Source organism: Homo sapiens, chromosome 9, assembly GCF_000001405.40.
Source record: "Homo sapiens chromosome 9, GRCh38.p14 Primary Assembly".
In the NCBI taxonomy this organism is placed as follows: domain Eukaryota; kingdom Metazoa; phylum Chordata; class Mammalia; order Primates; family Hominidae; genus Homo; species Homo sapiens.
The window spans coordinates 83,621,984-83,645,318 of NC_000009.12; the positions used below are offsets into that span (position 1 = coordinate 83,621,984).

Here is a 23,335-nt window from a genome sequence, read left to right on the forward strand (position 1 = left end):
TCATTAGATAAATGCTTTTATGTCACTTTTATTGTTTTCTAGGACACAGAGTAATACCTACCTTGGTTAACAAAAGACCAAAGGAGGTGATGCCAAATGCGGTTAGAAGTGCTTTTAATCACTTTGGGAGGCCGAGGCGGGTGGATCATGAGGTCAGGAGATCGAGACCATCCTGGCTAACAAGGTGAAACCCCGTCTCTACTAAAAATACAAAAAAAATTAGCCGGGCGCGGTGGCGGGCGCCTGTAGTCCCAGCTACTCGGGAGGCTGAGGCAGGAGAATGGCGTGAACCCGGGAAGCGGAGCTTGCAGTGAGCCGAGATTGCGCCACTGCAGTCCGCAGTCCCACCTGGGCGACAGAGCGAGACTCCGTCTCAAAAAAAAAAAGAAGTGCTTTTAATCAAATAGTTCAAACGACACATAATTAACATTGTTTTAAAGCAAATGGACACTTTAAAGTGGTGCTCCTTCCTCTTAAAGCCCCAACCAGTGCTGGATTTAACAGCAGAGCCATACAGCCAAGACATATGCTGCTACGGTCAACACTCAACCCTAAGTTTGACACCAAAAGATGGCCGCCATTTATTATTGTGACAAAAGGCCAGATTACAAAACGCTGTGTACGGCCTGATCCCAGTTTTACAAAATACTCATACCCATCTATCTACGACGGGGCGCGGGGAAAGGGGAGTCGTTTTAGGAAGTGCTGCTTATTGCTGCCTGGTGTGGGAAATTATGAGTCTTATTTTCTGTTTATTCTTTTTACAAGAACATTTTTATAAATGAATGAATGAATGCTTTCCATGGGTGGATGAGGATCCGGCCTGCCAGGGTGAGGATCCTCTGGAACCAAGAGGGGCCGGGGCAGTAGAACGACAGGTGGCGGGGCTTTGGGCGGCTCCCTCCAGCCCAGGGAGACGCGAGTGCCAGGCCGGGCGCGCGCTTCACTTCCGGGAAGAGGAAAGAGGGAGGGGAGGGGAGAGGAAAAGAAGGGGCAGGAGAGAGAGGCCGGGAGGTTGGGAAAGGGAGGAGGAAAGCATGGAAAAGGGGCGCGGGAAAACGGGGAGGGCGCAGAGGGGCACGGCCCTCACTGCCCCGGCCGGGGCGAGAGCGGCTCCGCCCCTCGAGCGCCGGGTAGGCCGGGGCCGGCGGGGCCCGGAAGGCGACGGGAAGGAGCCGAGCTTGGGTTATGGCGGCGCCGGGCGCGCTGCTGGTGATGGGCGTGAGCGGCTCGGGGAAGTAGGTCCGGGAGAGGGCGGGGGGCGCCCGGGACAAGTGTTGCGGGCGCGGCGGAGGCCGGACGCGTCGCCGTCCCTGCCGGTGGACTGGGGTCTTGGGGACCCCCCACCCTTCCCTTTGCAGATGAAGAAACCGAGGCCCGCGGCTGCCGCGCCCTCTCCCCGCCCTCCAGCCTGCTCGCGGGGCGCCCATCCTGGGACCGCATCCGAGCTCCGGGTTCCCGCTCTAAGACGGGGAGGCTGCGGCGACCGCAGGCTCAGGGAGGAAGCCGCTCCTGAACAGGCGGCTGCGGGGCCGCGCAGGTGGAGGCCTAGCGAGCGGCGCGGGGCTAGGTTTCGGGGCGCCTTGTCGGGGCCAGGCGGGAGGGCGCACGGCCTCTAGCGAGAGGACGCAAACCACGGCCCAGGCTCTCACAGACCTTTGGCCATCTGGACACACAGCGGCCTCCTCCTATGAGGCCCTGGACTTCTCCGATTCAATTTTGGAAAGTGAATCGTTTTCCCCTTCCTTTCATCAGCTTAACCTGGAAGGAGACAGCGTTAATATGGAGGGTGGCTCCTGAGGGTTTGGAAAGAAAGAAGAGAATTGTGGAAACCACAGAGGTAGCCCAGTGTGCTAACCTGGAGACTGAGGAGTTAACATTTGGCTTCCTGTTTAAACCAAAGTCTAACTGTGCCCTTTATCAGAAAAGACAGCTGCTGTACCATTCGACCACAGGCAGCAAAGGACAGAACTTGATCAGCTAAAACATCATAACCTTCAAGGGCCTATAGGACCCTTCTAGAATTTTCTGAATCAGGAACGGCCCATGTTGTGGCCTGTGTAGTCAGGTGTATATTAAAGATTTACTCCAGGTAGATGGGTTTTGCTTTCCAAAATTATTGTAGGGTTCTCAGCCACAAAGATAAAAAGAAATCTTGAACTGCAATTGAAATAAAACATGGAGCCCCCAAATCCCTAGCTGCCATATGATTTGAATCAGTTGGAGAATGTAAAATCATTGCCATGGTGTGATGTAACAGGAGTGAAGAGCCCTAGGTCTTGGTTCTGTTGCTGTCTGGCTGTGTGAGCCTGGGCAGTTCATGTACCCCCTCTGAGTCTTGAATCAGATGAGGGAGGCCTAATCCCTATGATGTATAGCTTGTGATATTCATGTACTCAGTAATTATTGAGCTCAATCCTTACTCTATGTCATTGTCATATAGCGAACAGGACAGATAAAATCCCTGCCCTCAAAGGATTTACATTCTGGTATGGGAGACAGAGTAAATGAATATATGTAGTGTGTGAGTTGGTGATAGATGCTCTGGAGTAAGGGGAACAAAGAGTGCCAGGCAGAGTGGTCAGGGATGTCTCCTCTGGGGGAGTGGCGTTTCAGCAAAGACCTGCAAGACTTGAGGAACCTGCCATGTGGATAGCTGAGGAAAGGGCAGGACAGGCAGAGGGAATGGCAGGTGCAATGGTTCTGAGGCTTAGCTTCTTTTGTTTTTTTTTTGTTTTGTTTTGTTTGAGGCGGAGCTTCACTCCTGTTGCCCAGGCTGGAGTGCAGTGGTGCAATCTTGGCTCAATGCAACCTCCTCCTCCCGGGTTCAAGCAATTCTCCTGCCTCAGGCTCCTAAGTAGCTGGGATTATAGGCGCCCACCACCATGCACAGCTAATTTTTTGTATTTTTAGTAGAGACGGGGTTTCATCATGTTGGCGAGGCTGGTCTCAAACTCCTGACCTCAGGTGATCCATGCGTCTCAGCCTCCCAAAGTGCAGGGATTACAGGCGTGAGCCACCGCGCCCAGCTAAGGCTTGGCTTCTTTAAGGAGCAGGAAGGAACCCATTGTGGCTGAGTGAGGGGAAGCATGATGGGAGATGAAGTCAGAAACAATGCAGGTAAAGAGAATGTGGTCATATGCTGGCAATATTTTGAAGGTAGAGTCAGAAAGATGTGTTTGTGGACTGGATGTTGGGTGTAAGAAGACAAGAGAGAAGTCAAGGATGATTCAAGATTTTAGGCCTGAGTAATTGGAAGGAGGGAGTCGCCACAAACTGATTTGGGGAAGCAGTAGATAGAGCAGATTTGGAAGACAACCTCAGAAGCTCAGTGTGGGATATGGTGACTTGGACGAGCCAATTAGTCATCCAGTGGATGGTGGTTGGATGTCCAAGTCTGAAGTTCAGAGGAGAGGGACTTTAGATCTAACTGTGGGAATCACTGTTGTGTGGGTGTACTTAAAGATCTAAGGTGTTGAGATCACCAAAGGAGTGCATGTAGATAAAGAAGCTGGCCAAGAACTGAACCCTGGGGACTTTCAGTGGCGCAGGGTCAGGGAGATGTGTCCAATGTTATTGACTAGCTGAGTAATAAAAAGACTGGGACTTGATTATATTCATCATTGGATGTAGCAACATCAAGTTCTTTAGTGACTTTGTGAACCCCTATTGGAGCCCTACAGGATTTTTTAATTATACTCCATAGCATTTAGAAAAATATTTATCACAGCCTAATGGCTGAAGAGAACAATAGTCTCAAAACAGAAAGACTCCATTTAGAACACTGTTAAAACACAGTGACCTCAAGGACTAAGTTTGTTACTGTCTTCCCCCACCTGAATGTAAAGGATTATTTTCCTTTTTATTTACTGATACATGTGTCTAGAACAGTTCCTGGCATTTCGTAGATACTAAATACTTGTTGACTTAATGAATGGATGGATGGATGGAAGACGGCAGGCATCTGAGTGGGTGGCAGAGTTAATTTTCTTTATATTTTCACAATCTTAATGAAGCCACCCTTAACATCTCCTTCCAGGTTTCCTTCTCTTTGCTGATGAAACAAGCTCAGACCTTTTGAATATCTTTCTCATTGATTCTGCATCCCTTCCTTCTCCCCCATTGGTCTGTGTTGTCTTTTTAAGTCCCTTGCCCCTGATTTAGACCAACCCACTGGGAGACATATGGACCCCAAATCTTGATTTGTAATCCTGGGTCTGACCAGTATTTTTGGGCCCAGCACTGTGCCTTATTTCTGCCAGGGTCTTTGGTGCATATTCAAGAGTCCAGGTGTTCTCTGGTTTAGACAGACAGTGGTTTTTCTTTTCCCATCTTCTTCCTGACAGTCTACACCCACATCTCTTTACCTCTGCTTTCAAATTATGAGTGCTGGCTGGCATGTTCATTCATGGCTAATCTAACTTGTTTTTTTGTTTTTTGTTTTTTGTTTTGAGACAGACTCTCACTCTGTCGCCCAGGCTGGAGTACAGTGGCGTGATCTCGGCTCACTGCAACCTCTGCCTCCTGAGTTCAAGCGATTGTCATGCCTCAGCCTCCGGAGTAACTGGGGTTACAGGCGTGCACCACCACACCCAGCTAAGTTTTGTATTTTTAGTTGAGACGGGGTTTTGCCATGTTGGCCGAGCTAGTCCCGAACTCCTGGCCTCAAGTGATCCGCCTGCCTCAGCCTCCCAAAGTGCTGGGATTATAGGCGTGAGCCAAGGGCTCAACCTAACTTGGTCTTAAGTGTGATTTCTGCTATGCACACTTCTGGCTTCACCAGCCATGGAGTTTGGCCGGGATGGTCTACTCATCCGTAGGCTGCATGTCTCCCTGCGCAGCCTTCAATAGAATGAACTAATGGGAAAGGTTTCACTGCTCTCGCAACCTTTGGTTACATCCAGGAGCAGATCTCAGTTTGGTACAACTGTGTCTAACACCTCTCTGATAGCTTTTTAGTGAAAGAAAGAGGACCTTTGTTAGGCAACAGTATCCAGCTAGAATTTAATCACATTGTTCTGTTTTCATTATATACAGCTTTTCAGGTACCTTCTATTCAAGGCAAGTGATGATAGCTTCTTGTGCAAGGGAATGAAAGAAAGTTTCCTTCTTTAACACACTTATTTAATTTTTAAAAGTGAAGCAATTAAATAAAAACATCAAAATGTTGAGGTGATATGTAAAATTTAAGAGGGCATGATAAAATAGTATGGGGATAGGTAAAAATTAGGAAGATAGTGCTTAAATAATTGGCATTTGGGCAACACTTTAAACATTGAAAGCGAGAAAGCACTTTATGGGTCATTGTCTGCTGGCCTCCACCCCTACCTACCCTATGTACTAGACTGTTTAGGAAGGCTGAGGCCATGTGTCAGTGAGCTTACCGTTACATCCTGGGAACTGGTAGGTGCTCAATAAAGAAATGAAATGTAGGTGGATGGATACATCATGTGGCTCAGATCCCTTGTTTTGCAGGTGAGAAAACTGAGGTTTAAAGGAACAGGTGACTTGGCTGGGAGCACTCAGTCATTTAGTGGCAGTAGGCAACTGTGGCCCCATCTCCAGTACTGAGTCCCGAGCCCCTTTCACTAGCACATGCTGCCTGGTAGAGTATGAACAGATAGTTACCAAATGCTCTACACAGAGAACATTTAACCCCCAGTCTTAACAAGTGCCGGTGATTCATGAGATATTGACCCATGTCCTTTATTTTACGAGTGTGTCTCTTTTAAACTCCAAAAATGTTTTTATGCTTTTATGAGTGTCCTGAACTTTACATGGGTGCTGCTGGAGATTAAATCCTCCATCAGACCCCTCCATTCAATATTTTCAGCAGAATTTTATCACTATGAATTCAACATCCCCACCACAAAAAAAAAAAAAAAAAAAAAAAAATTACACAACAGGGACCAAAAACTGATTACTGAAGAAAAAACTTGGGTTTAATGAGATCTTATATATTGCCTTTAGAGAAAGAAATAGTGTTAACTAATTATTTCTTCATTGACATTCGTGGGGATCAGCTAAGGCCAGTCTCCAGACTCCACGGTCACGGGCATCACTGCTTTAGGATTACACAGTGATTGGTGTTTAAATTCCTGCTAAGGCAGCCATCCCTTTCCCAGACATCCTTGCACAGAAGGAAGCTCCACACATTGGGCAGGGCAGTAACGGGAACATCTGTGTCCTCTCCACAGATCCACCGTGGGCGCCCTGCTGGCATCTGAGGTTAGTAACCTGTCCTAATGCCTTCCGAGTGCTTGTCCCATTGTGTTCTGGTCTCCTTGCATCTCTGCCTTTTTTCTGCTTTGTACAGACACTTCCACATGGCTTTGAACCCCACTGGAGCAATTTTGTTTTTCTCCTTGGTGATTACAAATAGTGATGAATAGGCAGGGTGCGGTGGCTCATGCCTGTAATCCCCACACTTTGGGAGGTGGGCAGATCATGAGGTTAAGAGTTCAAGACCATCCTGGCCAATATAGTGAAACCCCATCTCTACTAAAAATACAAAAATTAGCCGGGCATGGTTGCACGCGCCTACTGTAGTCCCAGCTACTCAGGAGGCTGAGGCAGGGGAATCACTTGAACCCGGGAGGTGGAGGTTGCAGTGAGACAAGATTGCGCCACTGTACTCCAGCCTGGTGACAGAGTGAGACTACATTTCAAAAAAAAAAAAAAAGTAATGAATTAAAGGAGGCTGTGGTAGCCCAGTCATGGGGGTTGTGAAATGGCATGACAAGGTGCTTCCCTCCTGGGGGTTGTCCTTGGGGTTGATGGGAACCAGGCGGGTGGTATTGTTTCTACACCTGCCTGTTAGTAATCCCACAATGACTATCACATTGGCCCATCTGCCTGCCACATACACCCTTTCACTTTGTTCTTAAAGCTGGGATGGAAATTCTATGATGCTGATGATTATCACCCGGAGGAAAATCGAAGGAAGATGGGAAAAGGCATACCGCTCAATGACCAGGTAACAATTGCTGTCTGTGTCCATCACACATATTCCACCTGGGTGACAGGATGAGCTCGCTACAGCACTTGCTGTAGTAGAGTTCGTGAGTCCTAAGGTCACTGTACAGGGGCTACAAAGAGCCAGGTGCCCAGTAGATCCTCTACATATGTTAGCTCCAGTCCTGAACAACTGTCTGAACATGGCCCCAGGAACAATGCCACCCTCTGCCCCAGCCTGAACAGGCTCTGCCAAAACACCTTGTTGTGGGATTTTAACCTGAAGAATGTAATTCCTGAGAGGTCAGAGGCTCCCTGTGCCTCATACATGGGGAAGTCCTCATCTTCTCTTCCCAGGTGCTGTCAGCCTACCACTATCACCGTACTCTAGCATTCACCCTAAAGCCAGAGTGATCTTTGAGAACTCAAAGCTGGCCATGTTTCTTCTGCCTGTGACCCTTTAGAGGCTTCCCACCAACCTCAGGATCAAGACCAAATACTTACACTGCTAAGCATGCATGGCATGGCCTCCACATGGCTCCAGCCTCTTTAGGAGCCATGCGCCTCCATATCTCCACAGGAGCTCCCTGGCCTCTTCCAGCCCCTCCCACTGCAATGCTTCTCCCATGGGGCCTTTGTATCCCTGTTCCCTTCTTCCCTGAGCTAGCCCTTCTCATCCTTTGATCTCAGCACCCATGCTGCTTCCTCAGGGAAGTGAAACCTCCATGATGGACTCTCATGGTGCCATTTCATTGTTGCACTTGTCCCTGTGGCAGCTCAACAACTGATGGTCTGAGAATTTGATTAATGTTTGTCTCTGCAACTAGACTTTACCCCTAAAAGGGCAGGGACTGTGGCTGTTTCTGTTAACCATTGTACCCCCCAGGCCTGACACACAGTAAACATCAGAAAATAGTTGTGGCATGTTTTCGAGTGAATGAATGGATGAATAGCACTCTCCTGTGTGCAGGCCGTGAGGCCATCCCCTAGAGTGTCTCACACCAGAGTTACAAACTCGCTGGCATAACTGGCCATAGTTCAGGAGAGATGAGGGCAGGTCAAAGGCTGGGGCCACGCACTAAGTGTGTCCAAAGGGCAAGAACGAATGGAACTGGCCGCAGACCAACACTGTTGTTCTCACTTTCAGTGGGGCTGGGCTCACCCCCAGGTGTCCTTTCCCTAGCTCACTGTCTTTTTCTTTTTTGTGCCTTGAGCCATTAAACCATTATTAGGTCTATTCTAGAGCACCCCAAGAGTGCACTTCTCTTTGTTATTGGGGGTACAGCTTGAGTTTGCAGTGCTTCAGGCCTTGAATCATCACAGGTTTGCAACATTTGATTTTAGAAGATAGGGCAATAGAACTATAAAAGAGAGTAATAATAATGAGAGTAATAATAGTATAATAGAGTAGTAATAAAAAAGAGTAGTAATAATGTTGATACTAAACTAGAGATAATAAACATAGGCAACCTGGTTCCACCACCAGGCTTGTATGAGCTTGACAAAGGGCTTAGTCTCTCTGTGCCCCATTTTTCTCCTGTGGGGTAGGAATGGTAACAGGATCTATTTGATTGGATTCTTGGAAGTATTAAATGAGATAATACAAAAAATATGCACAGAAAAGTGCCTGTAGCATTCAATAAATATCACGTTTTAAAATTATTGCTAACCATACGCATACAACATAAATCATATATACATGCCAATAACCATTTCTAAGGGAGTGTATAAAATGTGACTGTGCCAGTGTTATTTTAGGTTTCTCTTTGGTGACTGCAAATAAAAGGTAAGTTAAATAACAAAATAAAGCAACCAAAATTGATAGATTTTAAAATGGAATTTCTGTAGTCTTCCTCTTCTTCACAAGTGATGCTTGTTAAGTGGACTCTATGGATTGGGGGGTAGAATTCAGAAGAGAAATTTATGTACAGGAGAAAAGATTACTGGAAGAGACACAAGTTACTTACTAAATTTTTTCAGAAAAAAAAACTACAAGCTAGGCAGACCTTAGAGATAACCAAAACAGAGAGATAAGGAGGTAGAACGACAGATGGTTTACATTCTCAAGAGGTAGAACGACAGATGATTTTCATTCTTGATAAGAATCCAACGAGTCTAAGACTGAAGATATGGGTCACAGCTGGGCTGGCACCAATACAGCTCCTGGTTGCCCCGGTAACCGGTCCCCACCCTCCCCGCACTGCCCCCATGCTACAGAGCTGAGGAAAGCCCCCTGTGAATGGATTAAAGCGTGTCCGTGTCCAAGTCAGAGGCCCTGGTTCTCCCTTGAGGAAGAGTCTAGGGAGGACGTGGGGAGAGTTTTGTGTTCGGAGGGCTCAGAGCTGCAGTCTGTGTAGAACATGTTAAGGGCTCCCTAAGGCTATTTAAATGTAAATTAGGCCAGGCTCAGTGGCTCAAGCCTATAATCCCAGCGCCCCAGGAGGGAGAGGCTGAAGACCAGGAGCTTGAGACCTGCCTGGGCAACATAGCAAGTCCCTGCCTCTACAAAAACTGAAAAAAAAAAAAAAAAAAAGGCTGGTGGTGCATGCCTGTAGTCCCAGCTACTCGGGAGGCTAAGGTGGGAGGATGGCCTAAGCCCAGGAGTTCGAGGGTACAGTGAGCTGTGACTGCACTACTGCACTCTAGCCTGGGGGACAGAGTGAGACCCTGTCTGAAAAAAATATATACAAATTAATTAAAATAGATAAAATGTAAAATCTAGTCCCTGGGTTATACCAGCCACATGTCAAAAGCTCAGTAGCCATGAGTGGCTACTGGCTACCTTACTGGACAGCACAGCTATAGAACATCATTGCAGAAAGCTGTGTTGGACAGTGCCAGTCTAGAAACATTCTACCCAAGCTGTGATAAATTATTAGCGTTATGATGAAATTAATAATAAAGAATTTCAAAGCCACCAGTCAGTGAGTCTCCCCTAGGTGCCCAGCCCACAGTGTCCTATCTGAGCCTGCAGGGGCACCTGAATAGTCTTCAACTTCAAAGTCTATTGTAAAAAGAGGGCTTTTTTTGGGAAAAAAAAAATCCTGAAAAAAATCTCCTGATTATAATTGTAATATTTGCCCTGTATAGAAAATTTGGAAAGTACTAAAAAATTTTTTCACAAAATATATCACCCTTGGTCTCATCTTCCAAAAATATCTATGAATTGAATTTTGGAATTCTTCTTTTTCATGGAGGGGGTCAGTATATAACATTCTATATACTTAACTTTTGCATCAGGTAAAACACACCCATCTCCCCGCCATTCCCACTCCCCATCTTCCTTCCCGTCTCTCTCCACCCATATTCTACCATTATCTGTTCTCTCTTTACCCATCATCCCCTTCCAAAAGACATTTAATTTCTCAAGATGTTTCCATAGGCCAAGAAAGCTTTCTCTAGCCTCATGACATTCTGATTTCACTCTTCGTAGAGCATTCATTGTGCTCACCTCCGAGCACTGGGCTGGGAGTCGGGAGTGCACTGCCTTCCCCATCTTTGCGTGTAGGGACTATCTAGAGCAGGGGTGTCCAGTCGTTTGGCTTCCCTGGGCCACACTGGAAGAAGAATTGTCTTGGGCCACACATAAAATACACTAACATTAACGATAGCTGATGAGCAAAAAAAAAAAAAAAAAAAAAAAAAATCACAAAAAAAATCTCATGTTTTAAGGAAGTTTACAAATTTATGTTGGGCCACATTCAAAGCCGCAGTAGGGTTTGCGGGCTGTGTGTTGTACAAGCTTGATCTGGAGTGTGAAAACCTTGAACATCAGAGCCATAGGCAGAGATGCTAATTTGGATTGTCTCATTTCTTTCCTCTAAAACTTCTGTGTGTTTGATTTTCATAACTTATTATATTGTCCACAGTAACTGTCTGGAAGGCATAGAGCTCAGTGAATTTGCTCTAATATCTCCTTCTTCCAATTTCTTCACTGTAGAGAGATCTCAATTCCCCCCTTTCTTCATTATGAACATAAAATTTGGAGCTCATGTGTCTAGGTCCTTCCTAGCACCTTTACAATAAGGTCCACACTCCTTAGCAGGCCAGTCAAGGTCTTGAAATTATCTTTATCTTTTAAGATTTACTCTTTCCAAGGCCTGATCAAGATTGGCCTGTCCTCCAGGCGCAGTGGCTCACGCCTGTAATCCCAGCACTTTGGGAGGCCGAGGCGGGCAGATCACAAGGTCAGGAGATCGAGACCATCCTGGCTAACACGGTGAAATCCCGTCTCTACTAAAAATACACAAAATTAGCCGGGCGTGGTGGCAGGCGCCTGTAGTCCCAGCTACTCGGGAGGCTGAGGCGGGAGAATGGCGTGAACCCAGGAGGTGGAGCTTGCAGTGAGCCAAGATCACACCACTGCACTCCAGCCTGGGTGACAGAGCAAGACTACATCTCAAAAATAAAAAAATAAAAGAAGATTGGCCTGTCCTCCTGCTGTGTTATCATAGCCCTTCTTAGTATATCTCCCACAGCCCTCATCACTGCCCTGCAGGTGACTTAATAGATTACTCATTTGCCTCTTCTCTTTGAGGACAGGAACCACACCATTCATATTTATCCCCAGTGCTCACTCAGTATGGTGCTTTGCACCACATTTAATGTTTGTGGAATTAAGGCCCAGTGCCTACCAAATTCATGAATTTAAACTCTTTCAAAAATTCAGAGTTGGAAATAAGTACTGTTTATTTCAACTGTTAAATCAACCAAAAAATAGTTTATTCCTTTTCTTATTTAAATCCCAGAGCAGCTCAATGAATTATATACGATCCCCACTTTACAAATGAACAAAGAGAGGTGCAGAGAAATTAAGTAACTTGAGCAAAGCCACACAGCAAAGGGAGTCTTTCTAACTTCAAAGATCATACTTCTCCTACTGTGTTAAAGGCCCTGATCATCCAACCATTAAACAAATGATTCACAAGAAGTGAATCAAGGTTTGTTAAATTGAGAGAAAAGGGTTAGACAGAGGGTGAGAATGACAGCAGGAATGAGAGGGGCAGTTCCCCACAAGCACATCCATGGTAGGGGTTAGGCCTTAAAGATGTCTGAGGCACTGACTTAAAGGGTGGTCATGACGGCACTGACATGGTAGCCTGGCTTAAAGCAGGTCAGGCACTAGAACTTGAATTTCTACACTGGCGCTGCCTTGGAAAAAACCTTTCTCCTTGTGGCTTTATGGGAATCTCCAAAGAAAATTCATAATCATTTAATTATGATTCACTATTTGGAAATTTCAGGAATAATGTTCAAAGTGCTGCTCTTTTATTTCCAACCCTCTCTATTGTTTTTATGACTGATGGACACAGTCCTTACTGGTGCATGGTCATTAATCTGGTCTGCCATAAATTCCGATAAGGTGGATGTCTAAAAGCACCTATTTTTGTTTAAATAGTTTTATATTTATGTTTATTATGGCTTTCATAGTTGAGATTCTGAAAAGCTTTATTATGACTAGATGAAGCAGTGTGCTTTATTATTGACTAAAGCATCCATTAAGGCACTATTAAAACAATGAAAAAACATGTATTCAAAGTAAAGCTCTATTTCTTTGTACACAAGATAGAAAACTTATTACCCAAATATGTTTTCTGTAATTTTTGTTTGTTTCATTCTTATGAAATATTTCAGGCACATAGAAAGTATAATGAATAAGATAGTCAACACTCAGCTTAATGAAAAGTATATTTGTTTCCTAAGCCATAAAATAATACAGAGATTGATCTCCATTTCCACAGCACAAGCAAATAGAAATATTTGTGCAGATGGAATGGCGGAATGTACAATCTGAGCAAAATAGCAAAATGCAAGTTTGTGCCTCTGCTAATAAGAAAGAAATTCTGGTATTTAAACAAATTGTCCTCTCTCTTTGGTTCACCCCAAACTCATTATGAACATTTACTCGTGCCAAAAAGAAATTAATTTTTTTCTGTGTATTTCATCTCTGAGTCAGTCCTAATTCATAGTTCGAATTGCCCCTTAACTCTAAGTAGATATGTGATCATGTAAATTAGCATTCAGCCCTCAGAACTTTCCAATCACTTCCTCTTCTAAAGCATTCTTCTTGCTGAATGGAGATTCGCAGCCCACGGCACTAGTCTTAAATAAAGCCTTAAAAGTCCCATCCAGAGACTTCTACAATGACAAGGGGTGCACCTTGGAAAAGGCTGGTTGACTACCCAGCTGGGACTCCAGGGCTGGCTCTCTGTCTTGCAGGCCCAGCCCCCTTGATATTGTCAACACACTGAACATGGATTCATCTGTCATGTGAGACCCCTACCAATCAGGTTTACAAGTTCCTGCATAAACCAAAATGCCAGTTGATCAATGTACCAAAAGAAATACAACTGTCACGTGGCCTGTAACAATCACATTAGTACCCACATTTTCAGAAACCAACATACAGAGGTTTCTTAGTGAACATGGGAGAGTTAGGACCAAAGAATCTGGTGGCGCGAGACCATGCATTAGTAGGAAAAGGCTTGCTAATGAGAATACGATGTTCAAAGGCCAATGGCCAAGGCACCATGTCCGCTGGACAGTGCTTCACATTTCAATCTACAGTGCCCTGCTCTGGCCTTCTTGCCTACCCAGCCTGCCTGGGACAGACATGCTTCCTCTAGGTATGTGAAAATATTAAGATGGATCACAGTGATGCCTTGCTAGCCTGGGAGTCATTCTAACTCCTTCGCATGACCTTACACATCGCTGCCCCTTCCTTTTAACTGTTGATCTTTAAATTTAACCCTTAGAGAACAATCTTATTTCCTTCTTTTCCAAGTCCTTAGGAAAGCACCTCGCTGTGGTCCTCATTTTCTCAAAGATAAATCCTTTGACTCATAGCTTTGTAGAAGTTGACATAATTTCTATGATTTGAAGGCAGATGCCTCCATTTTCATGTAAAACATACTCTGGGGTTAGAAATCAGTCCCCTAAATGCTTATTCTACGCGGGCCAGTACATGCCACATTTTTATAGGACTGAATCCCAGAGTGGGAAGTAGAACCTCCTGCTAATGTGGGAGGCTTCAAGGCCCAGTGCCTTCTTTCATTACAACTGTCTGTTAGAGGAGCTGTTTTAGAAAATATATCCAAGAGGGTTTTTTTATAAAAAGCTGACATATAGCAGTATTATCTTTTTCATCTCCATTAGCCTGTGAATGTAGTAGAAAAGCTTGGCTAATTACAAGGGGAATAAGAGAAAGAAAGGAATTTAGAAAGATGAGTTCAAATGGTACCTTAGGAATTACTCAAACTTAGAATGATCATATCTAGGGTATTGGACCAAAAGCACCTACAACAGTGGCTGGGTCTCCCTACACACACAATCAGCACTTATAAATGGATAAAGGAAAGTGGAAATCCAAATTTGTGCTTGAAAGGGCAGCTTCTCCCCAGGGGCAATTTTCCATCAAAAAATACTTCAGAGGTCAGTCAATCCAGCTAATTGTCCCTGTAGCCTATAATCCTTGACATCCTTCTTCCCCATTCCCCACCATAAGCCCAGAAAACACTGAATTGCAATGGTAGTTTCAAGTTGCATAAATGTAGACTGCCCAACTTTTTTTCTCTTCACAGAGTGTCCAGAACATCTAGTTTTTTAGTAGGATGTCCTAGAAAACCTTGCCAATAATAAGCATTAAATATATACACTCTTCTCCAAGAGCACATAAAGTCTCCTCATATATTCTAACATTAATAACTTTATTTTGTGTTTTATTAACCACAAAAGAAAGACATTTTCTGACACACACAAAGACAGAAGGGCAGACTGTCAACTTCTCAGTCTAATGGAGAAATTTCAAAAACCTTTCTTGAAAATTTATACAGCAAGCAGACAAAAGAAATTATGAGTAAGGATACAGAAGATTTGAATAAATGCATTAAGTCTGACATAGGCATTAATGAAAAGTAAATAACCATATTATTTTCAAGTATATGTGGGACATTTATAAAAATTGACCATGTGGTCTGCAAATATGGAGCTGGTAAGCCTCATCATCTTGTTACTGCATTTACAAAAAACCACACTTGTTTCACTACATACACCTCCCAGACAAGTGCTAACATAAACAGATGTTTCATTTGTTAAGTACATTTCAGCTCTAAGTACATACATGACAGTAACTGTTGTGATTTGAGTAATGATTTATGTTAATTATGTAGCTATTGACATTTAGATTATAATTTGTGTAAACTGTGTGACTGTCATCATTTGATCTGTACATTTTGTGATTTTTGTAGCTATTACATTTGAACTCCTAAGTGATCTCTGGTTAAATAGTGTGTGCATGGAAGTAAAGTCTTAAGAGTTCTATGATTAGTAAACTTACGGGACCCTCAATCCTACATTAGCACGCAGTGCTTTAAAAATAATCTTGTATTTGATATGAAGAAAAAGAAATATTATTTCTAATTCTCCTCTTCCTTCTATGGAGAGTGGATCCAGGTAACTAGAGGGTTTTTGACTTGCTGAGCACAAAGTGATAGCCTTGGTAGAATGACCTTGCACTTACTGAAGATAAATTACTGTGAATAAGAAATGGCCTGAGCCCAGGGGAGATACCCAGGAGCTAAAGGTGGTTACCCAGAGCTGGAGAGCTTAAAAGGCTCCTCATGGAAAAGATCAAAGGAAAATAAAAATGGCCAAAGTCCAAAGCAAAACGAGAACATCTCATGTGCCAAAATCAAAGTGTGGCAAGGCTGAACTAAACCAGAATAACCCACTCCCCCACATTTTTTGACTGTATAAAAGCCAGGAGAGCAGGAGGCTGAGGTTTTGATGAGCCTATAGAGATGGGAGATAAGATTGTAAGCCTGTATGAAGCATGGAGCTGGACCTGAGTATCTTACATAAAGTCTTGTTGTTGTTGTTAGCATTGATGTCAAGTTGTAGAATATAAAGTCCTCATATAAGGGCTGTCTTTGAATGAGGACTAAAAATATTGCCACCCACTGAACTCAAAAGGAGCAAAAAATCTAGCTGCCTCCCTGGGCCACAGGTGGGAAAAAACAATCATCCTTGAGAAACCTGAGCTCCGGCTACACCCAAATTCACACTATATGACAAAGAGGCACCAAGCTTATAAACTGACATAAAACTGTTCTAGAATTGGTGAAACTGCCCGTGAAAGTGTTTCCAAAACTTAGGACTCCCACAAAGGAAAAAAAAAAATCCTTTGCTGAAGATGAAACTACAATCAGAAACTATAAACTATATGGGAAAATGGACCACTATGAGAGAGAATCAGCAAAAACACTAATGGTAAGATGTTGTTCTCCAAGAACTAGACATAATAGAATCAAATGGAAGACAAGAATAGGAAAATTTGAAAAAGAATGAAATAAAAATATTAGAAATAAAACAATCAATAGATGGATTAAACAATAAACTAGTACAGCTGAAGAGAGAACTAGTGAATTAGAAGAAAAGCAGATTGGAGGATATTACCCAGGATGAAGAAGAGAGCTAAACAGAAAATATTCAAGAAAAATGAATAGATGTGTATGATAAAATGTCAAACTTCCTGGATAGCTACAAGGAACCCAAGTAAATAGAATAGGAGAAAGGCTATATTCAAATAGGTAGTAACAACTTTTCCAGGGTATGAGTACTCACACTGAATATGCAAAATAAGTCCTGAGCAGGGCAAGAATAAAACTGCAAAGCCGCTCAAAGACAAAGAGGCTTTTTCCTACATAAAGCTACCAGAGATAAGATATATTTTCTAAAGGATTGACTAATACACTAAAAGAGACTTCTCAACAATAAAGGCCCAAACAAAATGAAATAATTATTCAAACTATTGAAAAATAATGGTCAACCAAGAATTCTTCACCAACTAAAAAAATCTTATTCACAAGTAAGCACAAAATAAAGACATTTTCTAACATACACAAAGACAGAAGGGTGGACTGTCAACTTCTCAGTCTAATGGAATTTCAAATAACTTGAAAAATTGATACATAAAGTAGACAAAAGAAATTATTAGTAAGAATATAGAAGATTTGAATAAATGCATCAAGCCTGACATAGGCATTAATGAAAAATAATATTCTTTTTAAGTACATGTGGGACATTTATAAAAATTGACATGTACTAGACCACAAAGAGTATTGCCACAAATTTCAAAGAATCAGTATCATACCACTCACATTTTTTACTATAATGAACTGTAAATCAATAATAAAAATGCACACACATCACCAAAATGGTTGGGAACTCTAAAAATAAATAAGCAAATTTTTTAAAAAATTAACATTCATATAAATAATTTATGTTAAAAGTCACAATGGAAATTACAGAATATTAAGTAATATACAACAAAAGTACTATCAATTAAAATTTGTGGGATGCAGTTACAACATTACTTAGAGGGAAACTAGCCTCTAAATACATTTTTGGGAAATAACAAGAATGAAAAGTAACGAGCTAGTTGCTCAGTTCAAGTAGAAAAAAATAAATGCAGGAAATAACAGAAATGAATGCTAGTGAAAACAAACTGGGCACATGTTCTCAGGATCTCCTGAGGGCTGTGTCATGGGAAAAAATAAACTATGAACAAAAGCTAGTTGTTTGACAAAATAAAAATAGATCTCTGGTGAGACTCATCAAGAAGAAAGCAGCACAATTGAGATGAATAATGAAAAGAGGGAGGTGGAAAACCTGATGCCAGTAAATTTGAAGACTTAGACAAAACTGGATAATTTCAGTGAAAAATATCAAGACTGGGGAAAATGGGGTTGGATGGCAGTGATCTAGTGGCAGATACTGCTTAGGGACACCTGCTTTTTCCCCAGTGAAATTGTGACTATTCTGGTGCTGCATTTGGCTTAAGCAGCAGAAGGTCCAGAGAGCTGTATAATTTATAGTAAGGGCATGGATTGTTTATGTTACTCCTTTGAAGTAATGACAAAGGTGATAAAAAGTGACTATCTTGTACAGCAAGTGTAACCTACAGATACGAACTGTGTTCAAGGTTCTGGAGGCCTGGAAGCTGGGCTGAAATGAGCTGAATCTGCTCCTGCTGTGTGGCTGCCTGGCTTCCACCAAGTTCCTGATTCTTTAGCCAAGTAAGAGGATGCAGTAAGAGATGGGAAGGGCAGGGATGGTGGCTCACCTGTCTAAGTGTGGTCTCTTCCTGCCATCATAAATGTTGTAGCTACCAAAAGTGAATCAGGAATAGAAAACCTGAATACAATACAATGCTCATTAAAGAAATTGAATCTGTAATGAAAGATCTCCCCTCAAAAAAGGCCCCAGGCCCAGAAGGTTTTTCAGATGAGTTTTATCAAACATAATATATTATATACAAGCTGTTTGAAAGAACAGGACAAAAGGGAAAACTATCCTACTCATTTTATAAAGCTAGTAAAGCCCTGATACCGACATTTAATATGGACCATATTTTTAAAATATAGGCCCATCTCAAGTATATAAAATCAAAAATTCTAAATAAAACGGTAGTAATCAAATGCCTAAAAGCAAGGACTTTTAAAAACACATCATGTTTCTGGAATCAGCTTCAAAATAACCTAGGATGGGATTATTTGGGATGTGGGATGTGGTTGGGGGCATACGTATAACAAGACTAATAGTGGGTTGAAAATAGCTGAAGCCAGCCGGGTGCGGTGGCTCACACCTGTAATCCCAGAACTTTGGGAGGCCAAGGCAGGCGGATCACCTGAGGTCAGGAGTTCGAGACCAGCCTGACCAACATGGAGAAACCCCATCTCTACTAAAAATACAAAATTAATTAGTCGGGCATGGTGGTGCATGCCTGTAATCCCAGCTACTCAGGAGGCTGAGGCAGGAGAATCGCTTGAACCCAGAAGGCAGAGGTTGCGGTGAGCCGAGATCGTGCCATTGCACTCCAGCCTGGGCAACAAGAGTGAAACTCCATCTCAAAAGAAAATTGCTGAAGCTGGGTATTGGTATACAGAGGTTTGCTTTGTACTATTTTGTCTGCTTTTCAGTGTGTTTAAATTTTTCAATAATAGAAAGTTTTTTTTGTTTTGTTTTCCAATGCATTATGGCCAATAATCAGGATTTGCGCCAGGAAGGAGAGAATTTACTTGTCTCAGGAGGATTTCTTTGTGAAACACTGTAGCACGTGCTACGTAAATTTCATCTGTCTTCTCTTTGGCAAAAATATAAATTTCTTAAAATAATTTTATCTGAGGGGAATTTTGTTCTTTGGAGGGTTTGAAGAATAGGACCAGGGGACAGCTGACGTAAGGGTTTATGTGAATATCTCTCTACATTTGAGATCAGAGATACCTAAAGAATACAGGCAGTACAATAAAAGATTTGTAAACGTATCAGAACCAGGGAGGACACGTGTAAAATGGGGAGATTAATATGGGGAGATACATACTGGTACTTTAGGGCAATTTTTATTATTATGAAAAGAGCCACTGACACCAGCTGAAAGAAAATGTTTCTGCCCAGCAGCTGGCCCCTCAGCCTTGTGCATGGCCCACTCCTCACACCACTGAGCTCTCGCTGGACCTTAACATTTGTGAACATGATATAACTGTTTCTCTACAAACAAACAATACCTGGAGAAGTCACGTTGTGTCTGGGTTTTTGTTTTTGTTTTTTTCAGGACCGGATTCCATGGCTCTGTAACTTGCATGACATTTTACTAAGGTAAGAGACCACCAGGCCTTGGCATAAGCCAAAGCCAGCAGGTAAAGAAAACCCTCAGAAAAGACAGGGAAAAAAAATACACTCCTGAAATCACAACTGACTGATGGTAAAGGATTCTAGAAACTGGCTGCACTTCTATCAGGTAACCACAATGATTTCAACCAGCCACAGGCAGCATGGAGTTTAGTCGGGCTCTGGAGACAAACCTTCTAGACAGCTCCACACAGTTACTAGCTAGCAGTCTTGATCAGCTACTTGGTTTCCATAAGTCTGTTTCTTCATCAGTAAAATGGGAATTAATATAGTTCCTACTCACAGATTTTTGTAAGGAATAAGTGAGTTGGTGAGTGGGCAACAGAACAATATCTGATACATAGTAAGTGCTCAAAAAGTGTCCACTGATGCCACTTCTGTTATTGCCTATCTCAGTCAATTTTTCTTCCCTTTACTTCAAGCTGTGACTACCAGGAAGGCCTGAGGTCATTTGTGAGTGAACAGGTAATTAGCCACCAGGATTAGAGTCCACATTGCCCAGCTCTGCAGCATGCCCCTGAGCGAACAGGGTCCCCCCCCAACAGCACCCATGACCCCAGTGGAAATCCTGGTCGGGACGTGGAGAAGGATAAGGAAAAGGCAGGGAGTGGGTTACGGATCTTGCTTTCTAAGATGAAGTCATATTTTATCCATCTAAAACCATCTAGGCCATACGAAGTTATAATATACTTAAATGAACATAAATTCAGTTTGCTTTTTTCACACCCGTTGACATGGCTGGCAGCCCTGTCTTTGCATGGGCTGAGTTTTGATTTAGGGGTTTATGGTTCTGGGTTTCAAGGTTTGAAAATTTTTGCCTACCTGGGTTTCTAATATAATATACTCATGAGAGTCTATTTTTACAGTACTATCATTTCATAGTCATAAAAAGGAGTATGGCTTCATTTTTATATTTGCTAGCCATGTATTGGCTGCAAAAAAAAAAAAAAAGCAGGGGAGGCCCCTTCCTTCAGAACTTTCATTCTGAAGAGAACTTTATACTGGATCCCCAAGCCAGCCCCAAGCCAGAATTTATGCACCACCTCTTAACTCTAGAATCCTGTCCTGACCCCAGGATGACTGCCTCCCACACTCAGCAGCCAAGTGGAAGCTGTGGCTCACTCTCCTGTGTGGTCTCTGGCCGCACTGGTTTCCCCTTATTGCTGCTGTGTCTGCCTCTGTTTCTGGCTGGAGTTTTTTCCTTAGTGCATCCCTAGGAACCTCTCATATGCTGCTCACCTTGCCCACAGAGAGGCTGATGCTCCCTTCTCTCCCGCTTTCTCCAGCTCTGCATTGCACCTGGCAACTCCCCCAGACACTGTAGAGTAGGAATGGGGAGAATCCAGTTGTAGAATGCAGATCCCTGAACATCCTGCAGAGGACCTGAGCTTGGCTGTTTGCATGGCACAGGGGCATGCCGGCAGCCCTGTGTCCACACACTGCGACAGAGCAACGTCTGACATCCATCAAAGCAGAACTAACACTTACTGAGCATATCTGTGTATCAGAGATCTCAAACAGTGTTTTCCTTTTGACAGATCTATGGGCAAGTACCCTAGGTAGCCCCACTTAACAGATGATGAACTGACGCTCAGAGAGGTAAATGCCTTGGCCCAAGATTGTTCACTTTACTAGCAGAAGATATTTAACTCGATGCTAGGACTGCCTGATGCTTAAACACCATTTTCTAATGCCTTCCACTGGCAGGAAGTAGGACTAGAGTCCTGCAACTAGAATTGACAGAGGTTACTTTAAATGTCCTCCTTCTTTAGCCTCCCTCTTTTTTTTTTCTTTTTCTAAACAGAGATGTAGCCTCGGGACAGCGTGTGGTTCTAGCCTGTTCAGCCCTGAAGAAAACGTACAGAGACATATTAACACAAGGAAAAGATGGTGTAGCTCTGAAGTGTGAGGAGTCGGGAAAGGAAGCAAAGCAGGCTGAGATGCAGCTCCTGGTGGTCCATCTGAGCGGGTCGTTTGAGGTCATCTCTGGACGCTTACTCAAAAGAGAGGGACATTTTATGCCCCCTGAATTATTGCAGTCCCAGTTTGAGACTCTGGAGCCCCCAGCAGCTCCAGAAAACTTTATCCAAATAAGTGTGGACAAAAATGTTTCAGAGATAATTGCTACAATTATGGAAACCCTAAAAATGAAATGACAATGATTTTGTATCAGTGGTCCAAACAGAACTAAGCATAAATCATTGTGCCATCCCAAACCTCGTTCCAGCCGCCTTGCCCATACTAGATTCTAAATGTTTCTAAAGGCAAACCCCAATGTGTCAAGACAGACTTGTTTAGGTGTAATTTTAGGAATTATGCTGGTTCATCAGGAAGCAGAGGGGGAGTTTTAAAAGTCAAGCTTAAATTGAAGTTTAAATTCATCTATAACCAAATCAAATGATCAGAGGAAATTCTGTAATCAATGCTGGAAATCGTTACATTGTTTAGAACATTCTTGCTCATGCCTGTATTTGCACAAATAAATGAAACTTCGCTGTCCTTGGCATTCCCTGGAAATTGATGTTGGGAGTATAAACATGTACATAATCTACCCACCACCCAGCACACCACACACCTCCTAATCCTCTCTCTGTCCTGGAGCTGTGGTTCAGAATAGTGGCTCTTAAGCTAAGGTCTCAAAAGGTAGTCATTGCAGAACAAGCAAACTTTGTTCAGTTCCTTAAATGGCATAATGCAAACATACTTACCAGTAGCAATACCAAGCTTCTTGCCTTTTGCCTAAAATTATGTCAACTCAAACTGTCTCTGCTGATCACCAGCTCTGTGCTGAGTGGTTGTGTGTTATGTATCTGTGTGTAATTTAAACGTAGAAACTTAACTGCTACTTAAAAAGCAGAGTTTGGGCCCAGCGTGGTAGCTCACGCCTGTAATCCCAGCACTTTGGGAGGCTGAGGCGGGTGGATCACTTGAGGTCAGTAGTTCAAGACCAGCCTGCCCAACATTGCGAAACCCCCTCTCTACTAAAAATAAAAAAAAAAATTAGCCGGGCGTGGTAGCAGATGCCTGTAATCCCATTTACTCCAGAGGCTGAGGTAGGAAAATTGCTTGAACTCAGGAGGCAGAGGTTGCAGTGAGCCAAGATTGTGCCACTGCACTCCAGCCTGGGTGACACAGTGAGACTCCATTTCAATTTTTAAAATATTAGAGTTTGGTCGACAAAATTTGATTTTTTTTTTCTTTTTTAGAGACGAGGTCTTGCTCTGTCACCCAGGCTGGAGTGCAGTGGCATGATCATAGCCCACTGCAGCTTTGAACTCCTGGGCTCAAGTGATCCTCCCACCTCAGCCTCCCAAGTAGCTAGGACTACAGGCATGTACCACCACGCCCAGCTAATTAAAAAAAAAAATTTAAGATATAGTGTGTTGCTATGTTGCCTAGGCTGGTCTCAAACTCCTGACCTCAAGTGATCCTCCCACCTCAGCCTCCCAAGTTGCTGTGATTTGAAGCATGAGACACAGTACCCAGCTCAACAAAATTTGATACGATAACAAAAAGCATCATTTTGGTGGAATAAAGATTGAAAACAATTATTTTAGCGGAAAAAAAAACATTGCTTTTCAAGTAGGGGAGCTGTCCTCATAGATCATTTGAGAAGGCCCTACTCCACCCTGTGAATTTGCAGATATCAGAACTGGAGACAGATCTCAGCAGTTAGTCCTAAGTGTGTGGCAGC

The 23,335-nt window shown here is 43.2% G+C and overlaps 1 protein-coding gene across 8 annotated transcripts, besides 5 other annotated features; it reads left to right on the forward strand.

Moving 5' to 3' along the window:
• Positions 855 to 1,384: a silencer, noted in NCBI's record as "silent region_19977". NCBI's record gives its function as "represses an Ori minimal core promoter by ATAC-STARR-seq in GM12878 lymphoblastoid cells {active_cell/tissue: GM12878}" and the evidence as "EXISTENCE:reporter gene assay evidence [ECO:0000049][PMID:35858748]".
• Positions 1,023 to 22,140, forward strand: IDNK (IDNK gluconokinase). Of its 8 annotated transcripts, NR_046422.2 has the most exons (6): positions 1,160 to 1,221; positions 4,459 to 5,061; positions 6,198 to 6,228; positions 6,890 to 6,976; positions 19,565 to 19,608; positions 21,446 to 22,140. NR_046422.2 is itself a non-coding variant. In XM_006717110.4 (5 exons), exons 1-5 carry the CDS (start codon positions 1,038 to 1,040, stop codon positions 21,795 to 21,797), a joined length of 1,017 nt encoding a protein of 338 aa, XP_006717173.2. In that variant the 5' UTR covers positions 1,023 to 1,037; the 3' UTR covers positions 21,798 to 22,140. The 8 variants fall into 8 exon arrangements, 6 of the variants coding, with proteins under 6 accessions (XP_006717173.2, XP_006717174.1, NP_001243844.1 ...); XM_006717110.4 differs by lacking the exon at positions 4,459 to 5,061 and having other exon boundaries at positions 1,023 to 1,540; XM_006717111.5 differs by having other exon boundaries at positions 1,160 to 5,475.
• Positions 1,565 to 1,694: an enhancer, noted in NCBI's record as "active region_28494". NCBI's record gives its function as "activates an Ori minimal core promoter by ATAC-STARR-seq in GM12878 lymphoblastoid cells {active_cell/tissue: GM12878}" and the evidence as "EXISTENCE:reporter gene assay evidence [ECO:0000049][PMID:35858748]".
• Positions 1,715 to 1,764: an enhancer, noted in NCBI's record as "active region_28495". NCBI's record gives its function as "activates an Ori minimal core promoter by ATAC-STARR-seq in GM12878 lymphoblastoid cells {active_cell/tissue: GM12878}" and the evidence as "EXISTENCE:reporter gene assay evidence [ECO:0000049][PMID:35858748]".
• Positions 6,996 to 7,584: an enhancer, noted in NCBI's record as "H3K27ac hESC enhancer chr9:86243894-86244482 (GRCh37/hg19 assembly coordinates)". NCBI's record gives its function as "activates a minimal SCP1, AML or CMV promoter by ChIP-STARR-seq in primed H9 embryonic stem cells {active_cell/tissue: H9 hESC(primed)}" and the evidence as "EXISTENCE:reporter gene assay evidence [ECO:0000049][PMID:30033119]".
• Positions 7,585 to 8,171: an enhancer, noted in NCBI's record as "H3K27ac hESC enhancer chr9:86244483-86245069 (GRCh37/hg19 assembly coordinates)". NCBI's record gives its function as "activates a minimal SCP1, AML or CMV promoter by ChIP-STARR-seq in primed H9 embryonic stem cells {active_cell/tissue: H9 hESC(primed)}" and the evidence as "EXISTENCE:reporter gene assay evidence [ECO:0000049][PMID:30033119]".
• Positions 22,141 to 23,335: the final 1,195 nt, after the last annotated feature.

What these genes read in the sequence shown, in the direction of transcription:
- IDNK (XM_006717110.4), top strand. Translation starts at nt 1,038, where the DNA reads ATGGAAAAGGGGCGCGGGAAAACGGGGAGGGCGCAGAGGGGCACGGCC. An exon ending in GCGGCTGCGGGGCCGCGCAG is followed by an intron (nt 1,541 to 6,197) that starts GTGGAGGCCTAG and finishes TCCTCTCCACAG; the next exon opens with ATCCACCGTGGGCGCCCTGC. An exon ending in TTGCATGACATTTTACTAAG is followed by an intron (nt 19,609 to 21,445) that starts GTAAGAGACCAC and finishes TTTTCTAAACAG; the next exon opens with AGATGTAGCCTCGGGACAGC.